At 39.0% G+C, this 18,370-nt stretch overlaps 1 protein-coding gene and 1 long non-coding RNA gene across 6 annotated transcripts, besides 2 other annotated features; one reads left to right on the top strand and one right to left on the bottom strand.

The window, feature by feature from the left end:
• Positions 1 to 7,075: 7,075 nt before the first annotated feature.
• Positions 7,076 to 9,032, bottom strand: TCEAL9 (transcription elongation factor A like 9). Of its 4 annotated transcripts, none has more exons than NM_016303.3 (3): positions 8,932 to 9,032; positions 8,377 to 8,455; positions 7,076 to 7,923 (listed from the first exon to the last, which is right to left on the bottom strand). In NM_016303.3, exon 3 carries the CDS (start codon positions 7,851 to 7,853, stop codon positions 7,539 to 7,541), a length of 315 nt encoding a protein of 104 aa, NP_057387.1. In that variant the 5' UTR covers positions 7,854 to 7,923; positions 8,377 to 8,455; positions 8,932 to 9,032; the 3' UTR covers positions 7,076 to 7,538. The 4 variants fall into 4 exon arrangements, with proteins under 4 accessions (NP_057387.1, NP_001006613.1, NP_001006614.1 ...); NM_001006612.2 differs by having other exon boundaries at positions 7,076 to 7,920; NM_001006613.2 differs by lacking the exon at positions 8,377 to 8,455.
• Positions 8,380 to 9,579: an enhancer, noted in NCBI's record as "CDK7 strongly-dependent group 2 enhancer chrX:102610887-102612086 (GRCh37/hg19 assembly coordinates)". NCBI's record gives its function as "activates an origin of replication core promoter dependent on BRD2, BRD4, P300/CBP, MED14 and CDK7 cofactors, with strong dependence on CDK7, by STARR-seq in HCT116 cells {active_cell/tissue: HCT116}" and the evidence as "EXISTENCE:reporter gene assay evidence [ECO:0000049][PMID:35650434]".
• LOC124905204 (uncharacterized) lies at positions 8,974 to 12,394 on the top strand. Of its 2 annotated transcripts, none has more exons than XR_007068284.1 (2): positions 8,974 to 9,084; positions 10,062 to 12,394. It is a non-coding gene; the product is annotated as an uncharacterized LOC124905204 (long non-coding RNA). The 2 variants fall into 2 exon arrangements; XR_007068285.1 differs by lacking the exon at positions 8,974 to 9,084 and adding an exon at positions 9,108 to 9,521 and having other exon boundaries at positions 10,062 to 10,737.
• Positions 16,713 to 17,253: an enhancer, noted in NCBI's record as "H3K4me1 hESC enhancer chrX:102603213-102603753 (GRCh37/hg19 assembly coordinates)". NCBI's record gives its function as "activates a minimal SCP1, AML or CMV promoter by ChIP-STARR-seq in primed H9 embryonic stem cells {active_cell/tissue: H9 hESC(primed)}" and the evidence as "EXISTENCE:reporter gene assay evidence [ECO:0000049][PMID:30033119]".

Here is an 18,370-nt window from a genome sequence, read left to right as displayed (position 1 = left end):
ATACCACATACAAATGTCGTATAATTGTAATATTTTTGCCAATAACAGAACAAAAAAGGTGGGTTGGAATAAAGCAGTATTGGTCTAAGGAAATGACTGCAGAGGGTAAAGTAATAAATATAACAATGCATTATTGGATTTGTAACATTAATAGATGTAACATGTGTAACAATAATGCCACAAAAAGAGGGGGAAGGAATAGAAGTAACATTTCTATATATGACTAGAATTAAGTTAGCAAGAATCTGAAATTGATTCTGATAAGTGAAGGTTATATAGATAGTAAGCTTTAGCACAACCACAACAAAGCTTAAACATAGTGAAAAAAGCAATAACGAAATATAAATGCTGGGCCGGGCGTGATGGCTCACGCCTGTAATCCCAGCACTTTGGGAGGCCAAGGTGGGCAGATCATAAGGTCAGGAGTTCGAGACCAGCCTAGCCAATATGGTGAAACCCCGTCTCTACTAAAAATACAAAAATTAGCCGGGCGTGGTGGCAGGCGCCTGTAGTCCCAGCTACTCGAGAGACTGAGGCAAGAGAATCGCTTGAACCTGAGAGGCGGAGGTTGCAGTGAGCCGAGATCATGCCATTGCACTCCAGCCTGGGCGACAGAGCGAGACTCCGTCTCACAAAAAAAAAAAAAAAAAAAAAAAAAAAAATATATATATATATATATATAAATGCTTCACGAGAAAACATACAGTAATAAAAATGAAAGTAGAACAGGAGGAATAGAACAAAAGAAGGCATGGGACACATAGGACACATAGGGAACAAAATGAAAAATGGAAGACTTAAACACAATTATATTCATAGTAACATTAATTGTTACTATGGGTTGATAGCTCATTTCTTTTTTAATTGTGACTAGATTAACAATCTAATCAAAGGGCAGAGATTGTCACACTAGATAAAAAACAACATTGGATTGTATGCTGTCTATAGGATACATACTTTAGTTTCAAAGATTCTAATACTGTAGATTGAAAGTAAGAGATGGGAAAAATATATCATGCAAAAAGCAACCACAGGGAAACTTGAGTGAGTATACTAATATTGGGCAAAATAGACTATAAAACAAAAAAAGTGTTATTGAAGATACACAGGGATTTTTTTTAAAAAAATAGGCTTTAATTTTAGAGCAGTTTTAAATTTACAACAAAATTGAGTAGAAATTACAGAGTTCTCATATACCTTTGATACTACACACACACACAGGCTCCCCCACTATCAAAATCCTGAACTAGAGTAGCACATTTGTTAAAAGTGATGAACCTACACTGACACATCATTATCACCCAAAATCCATAGTTTACAATAGGGTTTACTCTTGGTGTTGTACATCCTATGGGTTTTGACAAGTGTGTAATGACGTGTACCCACCATAATAGTATCATATTATGTAGAGTTTCACACATAGAGGATTTTAAAAATCTTCTATGCTCCACTTTTTCATTCCACTCTCCCTCTAACCCTTGGCAACCACTGACCCTTTTGCCATGCCCATAGTTTGCCTTTTCCGGAATGTCATATAGATGGAAGCAAAAAAATGTGTAGCCTTTCCATATTGGCTCTTTTCACTTAGTAATATGCATTTAAGATTCTTCTTTGTCTTTTCATGGGTTGATAGCTCATTTCTCTTTAGTGCTGAATAATATTCCATTGTTTTGACGTACCTAAGTTTATCCATTTACCCACTGAAAGACATCTTTGTTGCTTCCGAGTTTTGCCAATTATGAATAAAACTGCTATAAAAATATGTGTGGAGGCCAGGTGCGGTGGCTCATGCCTATAATCCCAGCACTTTGGGAGGCAGAGGCAGGTGGATCACTTGAGATCAGGAGTTCGATACCAGCCTGGCCAACATGGTGAAACTTCGTCTCTACTAAAAATACAAAAATTAGCCAGGTGTGGTGGCGCGTGCCAGTAGTCCCAGCTATTCGGGAGGCTGAGGCAGGAGAATCGCTTGAACCCAGGAGGCAGAGGTTGCAGTGAGCGGAAATCACGCCACTGCACTCCAGCCTGGGCAACAGAGCAAGACTCCGTCTCAAAATAAATGAATAAATAAATAAATAAATAAATAAAATGTGGGCAGGTTTTTGTGTAGACATAAGTTTTCAATTCATTTGGGTAAATAGCAAAAAGCACGATTGCTTGATTGTATAGCAAGAGTATGTTTAGTTTTGTAAGAAACTGCCAAAATGCCTTTCGAAGTGGCTATACCATTTTGCATTCTCACCAGCAATGAATGAGGGATCCTATTGCTTCATATCCTTGCCAGTATCCATCTCTAAAATGTGAATTAGCCATCCAACAGAATCATATTTGGCAATAAAAAGGAATGAAGTACTGATATATATTACAACATGGATGAACCTTGAAAATATTATGTTAAGTGAAAGAAACCAGTCACAAGAGACTATATTTTACATGTCCAGGACAGGGAAAACTATAGATGCAGAAGATAGGTTAGTGTTTGCTTAGGGATAGGGAGATAACGGCATAGGAGAGTCATAACTAAGGGGTGCGGTGTTTCTTTTTGACTTGACAAAAAGGTACTAAAATTGATTGTGGTAATGGTTGCACACATGTGTGAATATACTAAAAACCATTGAATTGTATAATTTAGGTTGGTGAATTGTTTGGTATGCAAATTATATCTCAATAAAGCTGTTATTAAAAAGAAATAATATCTATTCTGGGATGGATGAATAGGAGTTATCCAGGCTAAGTGTGTGAGGGGTAATTGAGGCAGTGTTTCAGGCAGGGATAAATGTGAAACCAGGACTGGGACTTGAAAGGGCATGGAGCCTTGAGGAACCAATAGGAATTCACTCAGCACAGTGGTATTGTTACTATTTGTTAAATACCAATCATTCCAGAGCAGTGATTAGGAAAAAGGACATTGACCTTAGGCAAGTATTCCATTTAATAGCTGGGCAACCTCGGCCAGGCCTCACTTTCCTTTTCTATAAAATAATAGGTTAATGATATAACATCTAGAAAAGGACTCAGAGTTCATGGAAGGGAAGAAAGACTCTGTGTAAGTCCAATAATTATTTGGGCAATTATAATGCAAGGATAATATAATTACCGATTGGGAATTTTTTTAAAAAAATAATTATTTCTTAACCAGATGGCAGGAGGCCTGATAAGAGATACCAAAATGCCACTTAAAAAGAAATAATCCTTCTCTTTAGCAAACTGAAGGGCTTCATCTTGATATATGTGAATATTTGTGGATATGGGTATGTATGTGTATGTGTGTATATATTATACTGTGCCTTCTGTTTTTCATTTTTCTTTTAACAATACATGATGAACATGTAGTACATATGGATCTACTTCATTCCTTTAAATAGTTCCCTACCTACATTACACTGTGGACAAAAGATTTGAATAGACATTTCTCAAAGTGTGAAATACAAATCACCAATAAGCACATGAAAAGATGCTCCATGCCCAACTAAATTATTCAAGTGATGCAGCTGTTTTTGCTAAGGGTCTTGCAAAAGGCTGACGTCAGAATATCAAATAACTGCTTTTGGATACTGTTATGTGTGTTAGCCTCCTCCTTCTTACCTTACCTTGAACTTTCTTTGCAGAGAGAACAAACCAGCTTTTCTGTTAGCTTTTGCTTTTTACAGAGACTGAGGTGATTATGTGTGGATGGGATCTGGGGCTGATTTTCAAACACACACTCTCCTGTCAGTTTCCTAGTAAAAAGTTTTATATGAGATTACTCTTGTTATTAGCGTCCTGAAGAATCCATTGGCTTTGCATTCCTACCTCTTTTATTTTGTGGTATCATGATAGCTGTGTCTTACTGTAATTTTGAAGTTCCTCAAAGATTGTTTATCTTTAGTTTCTTACTTGATGCTCTTTTTTAATCTTAGGATTTATTTAAAATCCCCTGTACTTAACTAAAAACTAGAAATAGTTACAGATACCATGTTTATATTCTACAATATACATTGTGTGCTGTATTTAATTTGGAATCATAAACCAGAGCTTTTGGTGTTAGGAAATGCTTATTATTCACATTCAGATTTATTGTACAGAGAAAACTGTTATTGGGAGAGGCAATCTGCCATGAACCCTGAGCATCCCTGCATATTCTTATTGGGTATGCCAAGAATTTAAGACCCTGAGTGTTCTTTACCCAGGCAGACCATTTTTCATAGTTGTGTTTGCAACAAGCAACCTTGAGCGATAAGATAACCTCTTCCCCTGAACAAAGAGCAGGCTTGTTTCTGCTGTGAAAGCATTGAAGACCCCAAACTCAGGGTTTCCTTCCTATAATGCAATGCCCTGCATGTTTAGGTATCAATCACGGGTCCTATGCCACCCCATGAAACTTGGAAATAATAAGGAACTAATACAAACCAACATGAAGCTCTGGCTACTGCTTCTGCTGTGATGATGTCATTTGATTTTGACCCAGGAGTCTAGAGTCTTCTGCCAGCATCCATTAAATGAGAGTAGGCTAAGTTGTTAGCTTATACGTAGGGTAAAATCTCAAATCCCTCACAGTTCTTGATAGGTGTTTCCAGTTATTATCCCTAAAGTTATTATGCCCATGCTGGGGCAATGTTTCCCACCAGGATGTTTTTTTGCCTTAAGTATGTGCCACCTACACTATTAATACTGTGTTCTAACTTAATGTTCTTCTTCACATTGACTCACTTATTTGAATACTTTTTTGAAAAACAAACTTTATAATGCCACCCTAAATCTAAACTATCATCATTTGCTTTAAACAGAAAGTATTCATTCATACATGTTCAAATAAATACACGGACACCACAATTTAAAAGATTTGTGTACTATCTAAAATCATTTCCTCCTACCACCAGACTCTTTTACTTTAACCATAAGTTATCTGATTACATGCAGAGCAGTCATGTCTGGGACAAAGTTTCTATTAGTGAATTTTGAGATCTTATCTTCTTCCTTATAAAAAAGTCCTATCAAACCTCCTTGTGAAGGAAAAAAAGGGAGAAAGGAAGTCTAGTGCTCTGATCTGCAAAAAGGATAGTTGTTTTTCTCCAGGTATGTCTGTTCAGGACAGGCAAGCTATCAGCTGAGGAGGGCCTTGTGCCTAGCAGAGAAGCCAAAGTCAGGCCTATCCTAGACAGGAGTGTGGCTTGAGTGAGCCCTTCCACATCCTTCCTGAGTGCCACCCCTCTGAGGGCCAAGGGGATGGATTTATCCTGTTTTGTAAAACTGGCAGTGAGCCTGGAACCTTATCTCACTCCAACATGAATTGCAGCCCTACCAGCAACCATTAGGCTGCCATCACCTTGAAGAATGGTCTGGAGACATGAAGAGTTCCCAAAATGGCATCACAGAGGAAAATGACACATGACAGGCACAATAGTGGGCCTTTTGTAAAGAAAGAAAGATAGGGCTGGGCACGGTGGCTCACGCCTGTAATCCCAGCACTTTGGGAGGCAGAGGTGGGTGGATCACTTGAGGTCAGGAGTTTGAGACCAGCCTGGACAACATGGCGAAATCCCGTCTCTACTAAAAATACAAAAAAAAAAAAAAATTAGCTGGGTGTGGTGGTGCAAACCTGTAATTCCAGCTACTCGGGAGGTAAGACACAAGAGTCACTTGAACCAAGGAGGCGGAGGTTGCAGTGAGCTGAGATCATGCTGCTGCACTCCAGCCCGGGAGACAGAGTGAGACTCCACCTTAAAATAAAGAAAGAAAGATTAGATAGATAGATAGATAGATAGATAGATAGATAGATAGATAGATAGATAGATAGATAGACAGACAGACAGACAGACAGACAGACAGAGATATGTAGATATAGACATACAATAAGGCCTACACAGCACTTTCATATATTTCCAGCCAGGGATGGGATTATTCCAAAATCTGACTTGAATTTTCCTTCAAAATTTATACAAGTCTAGGGATATCTGTTGAACAGATGAGGAGGGCCTGCCACCAGTCTTCTGGGAGAAATCATTCGTCCTAAGGAAATAGGAGTCAGGAAGATAAAATGGTAGTCTTCAGATCCAGGGCAGCAATTCTGACTAAAACATAATGTCTGTTACTCAGATTTGTCTTCTGGTCCAACTCCCAGATGGACCTATCATGTCTGAGCCTTATGGGGAGAAAGTTAAAATCCCAAAGTTGCCAAGATATCTATAAGACATCATGACTCATGTGGCACTGCATAAGTGTCTATCTAAATTGAAGAGATGGGCAATCTCCTAACTTCTCTAAAGGTCAGTCTGGGAACTAAGCTTACTGGGGGTGCCAAAGAAATATGCTGGGCTTCACTACTTGAGAATTCTAGCACATTCACAGTGGTAGGGGCCTGAAGGTGCAGGACCCAGCAGAAGGGGCAGAAAACGCAGTATATATGGTAGTATGAAGGGCAGGGGCATGAGAAGCTGGGTAGGCATATCAGGAAATGAACATAAAGGTGGCACCCACCTCACAGTTCCTTTTTTTTTTTTTTTTGAGACGGAGTCTTGCTCTGTCACCCAGGCTGGAGTGCAGTGGTGCGATCTCGGCTCACTGCAAGCTCTGCCTCCTGGGTTCACACCATTCTCCTGCCTCAGCCTCCCGAGTAGCTGGGACTACAGGCGCCTGCCACCATGCCCGGCTAATTTTTTGTATTTTTAGTAGAGACGGGCTTTCACCATGTTAGCCAGGATGGTCTTGATCTCCTGACCTCGTCATCTGCCCGCCTTGGCCTCCCAATGTTGGGATTAGAGGTGTGACCCACCGCGCCCGGCCTTGGGTTTGTTCTTAATCACAGATAAGAACTACTTTCTCCACCCTTCCAAATCGCTGAAATTAATCTCTTACGGAGTTGGGATGGGAACAAAACTCTGTCAAACATAGCTCACAGTCATTACTCTATTTGGCCCTCACCAGATCCTTGTGAGATTATTTTCTTTATTTTAAAGATGAGAAAATATGTAAAATTTATTATTCTAGCTAAGTGGTCTGGAGTTACTTTCAAGTTCACATTTCTTCTAAAATTCTGTCAACAAATATTAAATGCCCCAATACTTTTAGAAATAAACTAATACGTGCTGCTTGTTGCTTCTTTTTTATAAAACTTTTATTATTCTAGCAATAATAATGTGTGTTAATTTTAGGAATATAGAAAATACAAACAAGCAAAAGGAGAAAAATCATTCATAATCCCACCACCGAGAGGCTGTACTTTCTTTCATCCTTCACAAGTTATGTCCATATATGTAATATACAAATGTACTTTTTACCTTTCAAAAATATGATATTCACATATTACTTAGCCTTTTTCCATTTTATATCTTACCAAGAACCTCTTTTTTACAAATGTGTAAAGTTCTTTTATTAAAAGACAGAGACTTGTAGATTGGTTCAAAATACAATAAACAATGAGATGCAGATAACAAGAGATACATCTAAAACCATTAATAGCAACAGGTTATAAGTAGAAATATGGACAAAGGAATATCAGGAAATGCTAATAAAAAGCAAGCTATATGGTATTGTTAATATCAGATAAAAATCAAGGTAAACTACATTAAATAGGGGTAAGGATGGTTTCGATTAACCTTCCAACGCATCACTATAAGTTTGTTTCTGACTCTCCTTATCTCATCTATTTCATCCACTTCTCTAAACATATCTTCATTGCTTAAATGCCTGTTGTGTATATCTTCTTTAAACTCCTGGAGAGATTGAATCAGCCTTTCTCTAAAAGTTCCTTTTGCTTTGGCCTCCTCCTCTAGCTTCTCCTCCTCTTCTGGCTTTTCCTCAGGCTTTGGCTCTTCCTCATGCTTTGGTTCACTCTCATTTTCTGGTTTTCCTTCCATTTTTTGACAGGATTTCATCTTGTATCTGTCTACCTCTCTTCCTTCCTTCTTTTCTTTCTTGCTTATTCTTCTTTGAATACAATGACTTCTAGAAAGCAAAAAGAAGACAGTAAGTTAAAGACTTGGTGAGTGGACAGGTGCTGTGGACAGAGGCCTTAGCATTTAATTTTTTTTATTCAGAGCTGTTATAAAATATCTTCCACCTAAGAAGCCCAGTCAGCAATCAGAGCTTCACTATCCCCACTCCTTTTACCTCCACTTTCCACCTCCTCACTTCTCTCTTGTCCTTCCCTCTAACCTTTTCCAAGGCCCTCCTTTCCGCCGTCCAGCCCTCCCCAGACCTTTTTCCCCCATAGGGCCTAACACAGGGACCAGGCCAGAAAAGAGAAAGGTGGCTGGCAGGCAGAGGAAGAGGGGAAAGGAGAAGGGGGAGAGAAAAGAAGAGGGGAAAGGGGTGGGGTGGAAGGGAGCCGGCAGGAACGGTGGCGCTTACAACCTTTGTCTCCACCCCAGGAGACTTTATAATATTCCTCTCACCTACCTGGCACTGATCGGGTCAGTTTCTTCCTCCTCCTTTTCTAGCTTTGGGTCTTGCTGGAAACAACAGCCCTGCAGATAAACTGGAAACGGGAGGGGACGGTGGGGGTGGGGCGAGCGCTTGGTGGGCCGACCAGCGCCAGAGACTGACACACGTAGCTTTCCTCCTTTAGGGTTTCGGATATGGAAAGTTTCCCACCTTTTGTTTCCCCTAGTTCACCCCCTCTCCACAGTGCATGCAAGTCAGTTCGTTTTTCCCATCAGACAAAGAGTGAGAAAGCAGATTATTTCCAAACTATCTTTAAGACTGAGGCGGGGTTCGGGAGGAGGGTGGGGGTCCGGAAAGCAGTCTTAGATAGCAGAGGATGATTATTTTTAAACTACCACAGGTCTCCCTGTTCTTCTCCTAGGACCCCTAGTCCCTTTCCCAAGGGTCATCAGTTCCCGTAGACCTGGAGGTGGAGGGTGGAGGGACGGACCTGACCGGCACTCCCACAAGTCTCTGCCTTAAACCCCCCCACACTAGAAATCCCCAGTCAACACCTACAGTGACACCAACCTGCAAAATTCCCGCAAGTTTGACTCCTTCCACGGGCCTCAGGGACCACCGCCTGCGCTGCTGAAGGAAGCTGGTATCCAGACGGGAACAAGGACCAGATTACCAGGACTTCTGCACACGTCGACTCCTGGTCACATGAGATCTACGTCACCAGTGAGCTCGGGTCCCTAATTTCCACTCCCACCAAAAGCGCGGCAGAAGTGGGCCCACCCTCTCTCCCTCCCCGCCCCCCACTTATACATTTGGCCCTGTCAGTCTTTTCTGTTGTTTCCTATCCCAGCGGGAAAAATGTTATTTGCTTGACTCTGATTACTAGGGAGGGGCTACCTCTTTTTCTGGAGCTACTGAACTTTTCTACTTCTTTCGAGAATTGTCTCTTCCATTCTTCCACTCCCAGGATAACTCCTCCATCAGTCGTCCCTCCTCTAGCCTCCATTTCCTCTGCAATCTGGTTCTTAGCTGTTGTAGAGCAGGGTGGCCTTGGCAGCAGTTGTGAAACAACAACAAAAAAAGACCCTGGAACAAGAGTGAGATTTCTGAATGCAATTTTTACTTTTTATTTTTCGTACTTCTATATCCTTTTTAAAAAGGTAACTTTAATCTCTCTCTCTCTCTCTCTCTCTCTTCTTTTTTCTGTCTTTCTTTCTCTTTTTTTTTTTTGAGACAGGGTCTCACTCTGTTGCCCAGGCTGGGTTGCAGTGGTGCGATCACAGCTCACTGCAGCCTCAAACTCCTCGAAACGAGTGATCCTCTTGCCTCAGACTCCCAAGTATCTGGGACTACAGGTGTGTGCCACCATGTCCAGCTAGTCTTTTAATTTTTTTGTAGAGACAGGGTCTATGTTCCCCAAGCTGGTCTCGAACTCCTGGGCTCAAGTGATCCTCCTGCCTCAACCTCCCAAAGGGCTGGAATTACAGGCCTGAGCCACTGCACTGGGCAACTTTTATCTTTTTATAGTCAGAAAAGACAAAGAAAAAATTACTTTAATGACATGAGTTAATACATGTACAGTGCTTATTGTACATGTGGCATATAGTAAGTGCTTTTAAAGTGAAAGCTGTTGTGATATTAGAAGTTTTGTGAGGAAAATGATACAGAATTTTTTAAAAAAGAGTAATGTTTCATTCCAGAGTCCTCATGGTGGTGTTACCAGGAAGCTGTGCTGCCTGAAGAATCATCAATTAATCGTCAGGTACACATTGTGAACCTGAGTTTCCTCATCTGAAAGAAGGGAATAATAGCATATGCTCATAGAATTGAGATCTATTGAAAATAAAAATAAGAGTTAATTTTTCATCTGTACAATTAGAAAAGACAAATATTGATTATATTCAGAGTTGATGAGCATATGGTAAAACAAATATTCACATGTACTGTGAGACTATTAAGTAGTACAACATTTTTGGAAGTCATTTTGGCAATATCAAACTTTAGAAGATATGTGCTTTTGGACACATCAATTCCTCTTCTAGAGATTTATCATACATTAATACTCCTATGCCAAATATGGTCATTGTAGTAGTTGTGGCAATAGTGTTTTTTTTAAAGAGCCAAAAACTTATATGTTTCTAAAAGGAAATTGGTTTAAGAAAAGTTTGATCATTCATATAGAGCCACATTATACAGTGATGAAAAAATGATGTGGAGTTACATTTACTCACATGAAAAAAATTGTTCAATGTATATTGTTAAACAAAAAAAGGCAAATTGAAAGTTAATTTTATATGTGGTATTACATTTTTGTAACAGTATACATATTTGTGTATTTAAAATATGAGTATACAATTAAATTACATGATAACATGATAAGTGAAGTCCAGAAATTCATTCTATAAAATTCCAGGTTATGTTACTGAGAGATGGATGGATGGAATGACTGATGTGAGTCTATTTGGCTAGCTGGCTACACAACCCAAATTCATCAAGGACTCAGCTGTGATTTGTTGCCACAAACAATTCTTCACTGAGCACTTGGACTTAAATATCATCCATCCATTTTACTCTCTCCCCACCTGCTATCACCAATCATGTTATATCCAAACTCAAGTTGTTTCAGGGTCTTACTGTATTTTTATATCATTAGAAATGCAGATGAATATATCCTGAACATCATAGGATATACTTGAGAATGTGTATTTCATATAAAGAGAACTTTTATTTTCTAAGTGTTGTATTTATATATTTAAATTACTAATAAGTTACACAAATTAATTCAAGATGGATTAAAGACTTAAATGTTAGACCTAAAACCATAAAAACCCTAGAAGAAAACCTAGGCAATACCATTCAGGACATAGGCATGGACAGGGACTTCATGACTAAAACACCAAAAGCAATGGCAACAAAAGCCAAAATAGACAAATGGGATCTAATTAAACTAAAGAGTTTCTGCACAGCAAAAGAAACTTCCATCAGAGTAAACAGGTAACCTACAGAATGGGAGAAAATTTTTGCAGTCTACCCATCTGACAAAGGGCTAATATCCAGAATCTACAAAGAACTTAAACAAATTTACAAGAAAAAAACCACCCCATCAAAAAGTGGGCAAAGGATATGAACAGACGCTTCTCAAAAGAAGACATTTATGCAGCCAACAGACACATGAAAAAATGCTCATCATCACTGGTCATCAGAGAAATGCAAATCAAAACCACAATGAGATACCATCTCACGCCAGTTAGAATGGTGATCAATAAAAAGTCAGGAAACAACATGCTGGAGAGGATGTGGAGAAACAGGAATGCTTTTATACTGTTGGTGGGAGTGTAAATTAGTTCAACTATTGTGGAAGACAGTGTGGCGATTCCTCAAGTATCTAGAACTAGAAATACCATTTGACCCAGTGATTCCATTACTGGGTATATAACCAAAGGATTAGAAATCATGCTGCTATAAAGACATATGCACACGTATGTTTATTGTGGCACTATTCACAATAGCAAAGACTTGGAACCAACCAAAATGTCCATCAATGATAGACTGGATTTAGAAAATGTGGCACATATACACCACGGAATACTATGCAGCCATAAAAAAAGGATGAGTTCATGTCCTTTGCAGGGACATGGATGAAGCTGGAAACCATCATTCTCAGCAAACTATCACAAGGACAGAAAACCAAACACCGCATGTTCTCACTCATAGGTGGGAATTGAACAATGAGAACAGTTGGACACAGGGTGGGGAACATCACACACGGGGGCCTGTCGGGGGCTGGGGGCCTGGAGGAGGGATAGCATTAGGAGAAATACCTAATGTAAATGACAATTGATGGGTGCAGCAAACCAACATGGCACATGTATACCTATGTAACAAACCTGCATATTGTGCACATGTACCCTAGAACTTAAAATATAATAATAAATAAATAAATAATAAGTAATATATTAATTACTAATATTCAGAAAAATGTTTGAGACAAAAGTGAAAAATGAAGAAGAAATAAAATATCTGACAAATATTAGACAGCCATGTATCTATTGAAATGAAAATTTTTATAGTATATTGCTATGTAAGGAAAAAGCAGGTTATTAACAGTAACAGTATTAGAATTAGGTATGATTGGGTGGTTGGTGGGCTTATGGATGATTTATATGTATTTTTTTACTTCATTGTAGACTCTTCTACATTTTCTCAGGGGGCATATGTAACTTCTACAGTAAGGAAATGTCTGCAAATAGTATGATTTTATTTTATGGCACATATTTCATATACATACTTCTCTGTAGCTGAACAGGGTCTGAATTAAGGGACTCCACTACCTGTTTGAGACTTCAGATCCTTACGATGGTTGAATCCCTCACATTTCCTTCCCTTGCTCCGCTGACCTCCTCAAAGGACTACATGTTTGTAACTAGTATGCATTAGAAATGAGGGTCTCTTCCCCTTCCTCTGACTATCCCTCCCTTCAATCAAGTTTGAGATGGTCAAAGTGTACTACTACATTTTTAACATGGGGAAGGAGGCATCTCTTTCTTAAATTTGACCTGATGAAAATATTTTCTAGGGAAATATTTTTGCTAGAGAAAGTAATACTTATGGCAATAATATAATAGTTTAAGCAGATTATAAAATAGTATTCTTAGTTGCCAATTCAATTCTTTAAAAAATATGTATGAATAGAAACAGAAAGGATCTGGCTCTGCTTGACATGTGGCATGTATCTATAGTTACCTTACTTTTTTCCAGTAAAAATGTTTTATTTTTTGCAAATAAAGAAAATAACTATTATTTAAAAGCAGGTTATAAATAATGTATATAAAACTATCCTAATTATACTTAAAAATACATATAGGAGGAAGGAAACCCTCAATAATATACACTCAATTTCATTTATTTGGTGGCTCTCAAATATACACTTCATCCACTTATTGGTTTCACAAATATTAATTAGGCGATCACTAGATGTTGTCAGTCTAAACCCTTATGTCCTTTCTGTAGATTTCCTCTCAATTATCACTGAATGTGTTAGTGCAGTGGAGTTGCATCTTAAGCCAAGGATGGATTCTAAAGTCAGCATATAAGGTAAAATCCTACCTAGTCAAACTTACCTACTTCATAGCATATTACTATAAGTTATAATGTTAGTGGGGAAAAAATGAAAATATTTAAACTTAAAATTAAACTCCCATTTAATTTTATGGGAATATAGATTTCTAAAAACTTTCATGTCTATAATTCTTGTGTATTTTCCAAATTTTCCACAGTTTACTTGAATTACATACATAGAACAATGAAATACATAGTTTTGAGATAACCTAGACTTTATTCACTCTTCACTGTATATATGGGCATTCAATTTTTATGTAAATAATACATATAAAACACACACACACATATATATATACAATTTTAAAATTGAAATGTATATATTCCAGAATAAGGAAGAAGGGAGAGAGGAGGGGAGGCCAGTTTTCACTGCTTTGCTTGTGAATGGGATGGAGATATTGTGTGTGTGTGTGTGTGTGTGTGTGTGTGTGTGTGTGTAGAGATAAATAAATTACATATTATATATAGTATACTATATAGCTATTAGTAATATTATATTACACATTATTATTTAGATATAATATATAGAGATAAATAGATACATAGATATAAAATTTATTTACACCAGGACACTATTTTATACATATTTTCTAGCTAACAATGCAATGTAAATATTTCTATGCCAATAAATACTGTACTTCATCATGTTAAAATTAATGGTAACTTATCTACCGCTTGTTTAATATTTAGGCTGCCTCTATGTTTTTGCTATTTAACTCAAGCCTTAACCAAAATCTTTGCACACAACCAAAATTATTTCCTAAGGAAAAATTTCTAAAAATGAAATTGCTGGGTCTAAATCTGAAACATCTTATTTATTTTTATGTGTATTATCAAGAAGGCCTGGAAGATAATTTAACCAATTTACACGTGTACTTGACAGTCCATGTGAATGAACTCATGTAAAATGGATGGCATGATTTTTTAAAAAATATTCACCAAATTCATAGGTGAACGAGTGCCTTGAAGTTTCAATTTGTCCATTTCGACTCCTAGTGAGGCTGAATAATTTATACTTATTCCCCATGTATGTGTCTTCTTTGTCTCTATTGAAGCCCTTTCACAAGTTTTCATGCTGTTTGTAACTATGTGTACTAGTAGTTTGTTCACTTTTAGGAACATTTTATTACAGGTAACCAATCTTTTAGATAGTCTCACTAGTTGTAAGGAACACAGATTTAGACTAGTTTAGTTGAGGCAGGATTTATGGTGAAAATTTATGAGGCAGTAGAGAAGATTATGATCTCAAGGGAATCTGAGAATAGACAGTAAATTCCTAATGGATGTCTAAGAGCAGGACCTGAGCACTGTAGTGCTCTGTCACTACCTTGGCTCAGTTGTTCTCAGTCTCTCCTCTTATCCTCATTCATCCTTCTCCTCCTATGTCACCGAGGAGACCTCATGGCTTCAGCTTCCTCATAATTTCACCTTGCTCATGTATCAGGCTTTCCCAGCTTCCTAAGGTACGAACCCTCTTTCCACAAAAGTGCGTGTACCCCACCAACCCTAAACATGCACAAACCTGCATAGAATTTCAAATGGTCCACAGACTTTCCTAGTTGAGAACTCCTGGTCTAGGCTAAGTAATATGGTCAGAAAGTGAGAGTTCCTGGGACATTGTCTTAAACCTGGCTGAGGGGCTACTTGGGTGGGGATAGATTGGCAGGCAGTGACCCTACCGCAAGGCCAGCCTCCTCCTGAGTTTCCTGGAGGGGAGGAGGCCAGAGGTGAGAGGCCTAGCAGGCTGCATTCCTTTAGCAGAAGAAAACAATACTAGTTAGTTGTGAAAATTAAACACTTCCATAAGTGGAAAAGATAGGAGATCATTTTTCTATAATCGGATAAAAACAAGACACTTGTTAGGCTTGTGAAATTAAATAATTTAAACTTAAAGCTGCTGGAACTTCAAATTATTCTGAGCCTTGAGAGGAATGTGGCTATGCAGCTTGAATCACAGGGCATGAAGCTGCAACTTCTGCCTTTTTTTCCCCCTGTAAATAATTAAGACAAAATGCCACCAGAGATAAGACTCCCTCAGATCATTACCCCTCCTCATGGAATAATAAATAGCTGTGGCATTTGCATAGGTCTTGTATGGAAAATGCAACCCTGCTAAAATTTCTCTGTCTCTGCCTATATAAGTAAAACCTTAATTTTTCCACTTTGGAACACTGATTCCATTTGTTTGGAGCTGGTGTTTCAGGGCGGCTATCCTCAAGCTTTGCGCTTGAATAAACTCTATACTTAATCATGTTTTCTGAATTTCATTATTTAAGGTTGACAGGCTCTCCAGGGATTAATTTATCAAACACATAAAATGTTGATTAATTTTAGAAAAATGTAGGTTTTAAATTTCAAACTCTCTATCTTGTTTTTTTTAAGCTATTTGGGAAGTATCAGACACATTTTCTAACTGATAAAAATAAACACAACCAAATTATGAAGAATTTTTTATTTAGTAGAAAATCTTATTTATTATTGTAAATTACTTTTCTCCCTAAAGAGTATATTTTAAAGGTTGTGAACAATTGGCATGTTTTAAAAATTTGTGATTCCTTTTGTAGCTGATTAAAAACACTTTAATCTGATATATGACAATTTAGCCAAATAACAAGGCACCCCAATGAAAAGAGAGCTCTTGGGATAAATGCCCATTTCCCCCATCTTCAAAATGTGTTAAATATTGTATTCTTCAACGTAAAAAGAAAGCATTTTAAATTAAACACTGGAACAGAAGGATACACAGAAGAAAATGTTCCACTTCCACTCCGAGCCTCCTTTCTTTATACCCAGCTTCTTGGCCATTTATGTGCAGGTAAGAGGCTCAAAGGAAAAATAATGACTACTGGGAGAGAAGGTGGGGTGAAAGGGCCATTTTGGGGAAGGTTAGAACAGGGGAAAGAGATAAGTCCATAATAATTGTAAATTGACAATAACCCCAAGAAAAACGCTGCCTCTTCCTGATGATTAGAGAAACCAAATACTATTCCTGGCCAACTGAAATGCCAAGGTGGAAAAACAGACATCCCAGGCCCAGGGTGAAGGAAGAGTGGAGGGATGCTGGTTCCTGCTGTTCTGCTTGTGAGTGGGAGGGAAAATTGGTAGTCTCAACTCACCTGTGACGTTGCTGTCACATAACGGGAGTCTACTCAAGTCCTTTTTGTCCTGCCTTTTGTATCTTCTGGTTAATTATTCCTATTATGGAGAAGAAGAAAATTCTGGTCAACGTATAAGGAAAACAACTGTCCCAGACGCTGTAGGTTTGTGTTCTGGCGTGAACTCTGGGGGAACCCCGGGGCTGTGATGGATGACTGTTGAGGGCAGAATCCTCAAGTGGGTCCCGATCTGCGTTTTTGATACTCCTTCCTTACCCAAGGTCCATTTTGGGTGGTTCTTGGGGCAAGCGGAATATGCATACGGGTATATGGGTATATGCTATACCCATATAGCCTTCCCCACAGGGGGTGGGGATACGAACCCCACTCCCTGTGTCCTACACCCATTTTGGTGCAAAAGATTTTGTTAATAGAGGTGTGGAAATGAATCACAGGAGAGGGAAACAGACACACGGAAGGTGAAAGTTCTATTTCAAACAGTCCCCATTATCGCCTTCCACCATCGTGGATGTTTAAATAGCAAGTAGGGCCAGGGGCTGAGTATGGCTTCGGAGAAAGGATGGATAAAAAGGGACAAAGTTGGGAAATATGGAGCTGGAAGACGCTGGAAGGGGAAGGGGCCGGGTGGTGGCGGGTCTGCGCCAGCGCTCTGCGGCAGCAGCCTCCACTCGCCCCACCCTGGCCGTCTGCAGGTCTGCGGGCTAAGTGTCGCTGCGGTGCACCTCAAGGCGAGAATCGGGAGGAGAAAACTTGCAAGGATAGGTTCAGATCGATGCTAGGGACAGTGGTGGGGGCGGAGTGTGTGTACGGGCGGAGACAGAGCCCAGTTAGTGGCCCCACTCCAGATCCTCCCTTTTGGTGTCTGCATAGGCCTAGGGAAGGATCTACAAGAAAAATGCTAGGCTTTGAAGGAGGGAGGAGAGAAGAGATAGCGGGAGGGAGGTGCTCCAGCAGGAGGCCTCCTGGAGAGCGCATAAGTCCTCTCTGGTGGGAAAAATAAAAATTTAAAAACCGTCGATATCCAGGGCTCTGAATTTTGAAAGGTGCGTAGTAGGGCCACTGTCCTCGGTGCTGATATGTCCACCAAGCACTGCCCTTTTCGCTCGTTTTTTATCTCCTAGGAGTGACGGAGTGCCAAGTAGAATAAGCTGGAGAGAAATCTCAACACGGAAAACCTCCTCCAGGAAAAATGAAAAAGGAAACAGAAGGAGGGGAGCAGGCCCCTGTGCAAAATGGAGAGGAAATTCGCCCTTTGTGAGGGAGTGAAGGTCAGGAGTCTGAAGGAAATAATAGACAGTGTCCAGGATTTTAGGGGAGGTGTAGTCTTATCAATAACATTCACATGATAAATGCGGATAAAGATGATATGGAATGGTTCATGGAGGAGATGAGAGAGTTAAGGCAAAAACTCAGGGGATTTAAGTTAAGGTATAGTCCATGGCCTTAATGGGGACCACCTCATTCATTATCACCATTATGATGCCTTATACCTTGAAAATAGAAGTTTTCTCTGAGGTTAATACTTCTCAACTCTGCTTTCTGGGTTTTTTTTTTTTTTTGCCTTTTTTGGTGTACTTTTGTTGATTCAGTTGCTTCAAAACTTTTAGTATTGCCAGCTTCTACTTGAATATTACATTCTGATCAAATCAACAAATCCTTTGTCAGCAGAAGTGTTTAATATATTTGAATAGAAATATTCTCATTATGTATTTTAAAGTGAAAAAACAAGTTATAATGCAGTGTGCAAAATTATTGTTGCTTCATTTTAAGTCAAG

Source organism: Homo sapiens, chromosome X, assembly GCF_000001405.40.
Source record: "Homo sapiens chromosome X, GRCh38.p14 Primary Assembly".
Lineage (NCBI taxonomy): Eukaryota > Metazoa > Chordata > Mammalia > Primates > Hominidae > Homo > Homo sapiens.
Note: the sequence above shows the minus strand (reverse complement) of the source record. Positions and strands in the feature narration are given on the sequence as shown.